The sequence below is a fragment of the Homo sapiens genome, chromosome X (assembly GCF_000001405.40).
Source record: "Homo sapiens chromosome X, GRCh38.p14 Primary Assembly".
NCBI classification, from domain to species: Eukaryota; Metazoa; Chordata; class Mammalia; order Primates; family Hominidae; genus Homo; species Homo sapiens.
Genome location: NC_000023.11, coordinates 121,157,503 through 121,159,737, shown reverse-complemented (window position 1 = coordinate 121,159,737; position 2,235 = coordinate 121,157,503).

Here is a 2,235-nt window from a genome sequence, read left to right as displayed (position 1 = left end):
TGCATCACATCTTGAATAGCAGAAGCCAGGGATCCATTTCCACCTCCCCTGAGGTTAGAGAAAATAGCTCAGCATTTAACTCATACTGCCTAGGATGCCCAAATAAAGCACAGCTCTGAGCAAGGCACTGACAATCCATTGTCTACGCTATAGAATAAAATGCCTACCTCTTAATCTGACAGTCAAATGCCTCTTTCATGTGATCCCCAAACAATCTGAAATACCATATCTACTGTTATTTCCACATCCTATACTGCTATCACACTAGACTATTCCCATTCATTGTACAGACCTGCCCTGGACTTTTTCCCCTGTATGGCATTTAACATGCTAGTAGTCCCTCCACCCAGAATGCCCACAATTTTTGCCCTTTTCATCTATCTTCAGGTGCCTCCATGAAGACTTCCCTAGCCTCTAGCCAAGAGTAATCTTCCTCTCATTAATGCTTCCACCACATTTGGTAGCTCTCTTATAATGCTTAGTGCATTCTGCCTGCTTTATACATGGTCGTGTATGTCTCCTGTCTTGCCTATTAAATTTTAAGCCCCTCGAAGGCAGATGCCATGCCTTATTCTCCAAATCACCTGATGGAGCAATTTACTAGATTAGTGAATTTTTTCCTGCTGGCACAGAAAGGGTTAAGCACAGACTGCTGTGATAACTGACAGATGGTCTGAGAAAACTCTTTCCATTAGTAAAACTGGCATTCCTCCAATAAGGAAAGACTGGATCTGGCTAATTAAAGCACATTTTTCTCTGGATACTATAAGATGTGATTCCTTCATTTTCTTCTCATTTTTCAATAAGAAGCATTTGAAATTTCTGAGAAATGATAGTGTGATAAAAGCAACCAAGTTTGATGGTCCAGGCTGTTCCTCATCTATCCTTCACTTCCTTTGCACTAGATTTTATTTAAGTCTCAGACTTATAGTTAAGAGAGCACTCTGGGATGTAAGGTACAGGACAACCAATCTTGATTGCACTATATTAAAGTGTTGCTCTCCATTCTGGTTTAGGCATAATGTAAAAAGAGAACCCCCACATTGATCAGCAGATTTAGTCAAGAAATCCCCCTCCCCACAAGGCTCTCCCATATTATAGAGCCTTCTGGGGAGTCCCAGCCAAGTTAAAAACAGTCTCTCTCTTCAAGGAGTTCACACTCTAGCTAGAGCCCCAGTATCAACACACCCACATGTTTTTTCTTAAGAGACAAATTAACCGACTATTGACAGATCACCATGGTGCTCAGTGGGCATTGAGTACCAAGCTGACCCTAAGAAAGCACAGGCTTAATGGACAGCTGCCTACACCATGTGGTACAAGGGCCAAGGAAACTATGTCTCTATGTCAGCCTGCCTCAGTTTCTGAAATTCCATTGTTCCCTAGAGGTAAGGCATTAAGGACATCCATTGCAAATGCAAACATTTCGAGCCAGTAGTTTAATGAATAATTGCATAACAACTTTTCACAAATATGTAAGCCAATGAGAGAGCAGGCATCTGCTGAACAGGAAGAAAGCTCAAACCTGCTTCTGACAGGCACTTAAGACCACTGCCTTTGCTCTCTCTATACCACTTACCACCATTTGAAATATTTTGGGTGCCGTTAGCTTCTCCCTCAAGGAGCTCTGTTTAGTGAGGAAGAGAAATATGTAAATATATAATTTTAATATAATGGGGTAAGAGACAGATGTAGAGGTATTCATAGATCCCATGGAACTGAAGGAATTGGAGGTGCTATCTGAGCTGTATCTTGAAGTATGGACAGAAATTAGCAAATAAAGGTAGAAACAGTATCTCAGGAAGAGTGATTTGCATGGGCAAGGACATGAGAAAGCCTTTTGTGTGTAAGTATGTAGTAGGGGAGAAGAGTCACTGAAGGGTCGAAAGATCTGTATGCCATTCGCTATTACCATAGCATCAAGTGGGAGGCAGAAAGTAAGAGAAGGTGAGACTGATCATGGCAAGAGACAGATCATGCAAGGCTTTATACATCATGACAAGGAGCTTGGATGGACCTGATGCTCATGTCAATAGGGAACATTAAAGAGGAAAATGAGACAATCAGATTTTTGTTTAGGAAGATCAATAGTGGCTGTGTGAAAAGTGGATTAAAGAGAGACAGGACTAAAAGTAGGAAGTGCAATTAACAAGCTGGCTCAATAATTTTCTCTTTGCCTTTCTCCCTGTCCTTTCTCTCCTCCCACACTCCCCCTTCTTCTTTTTCTATCTTCTT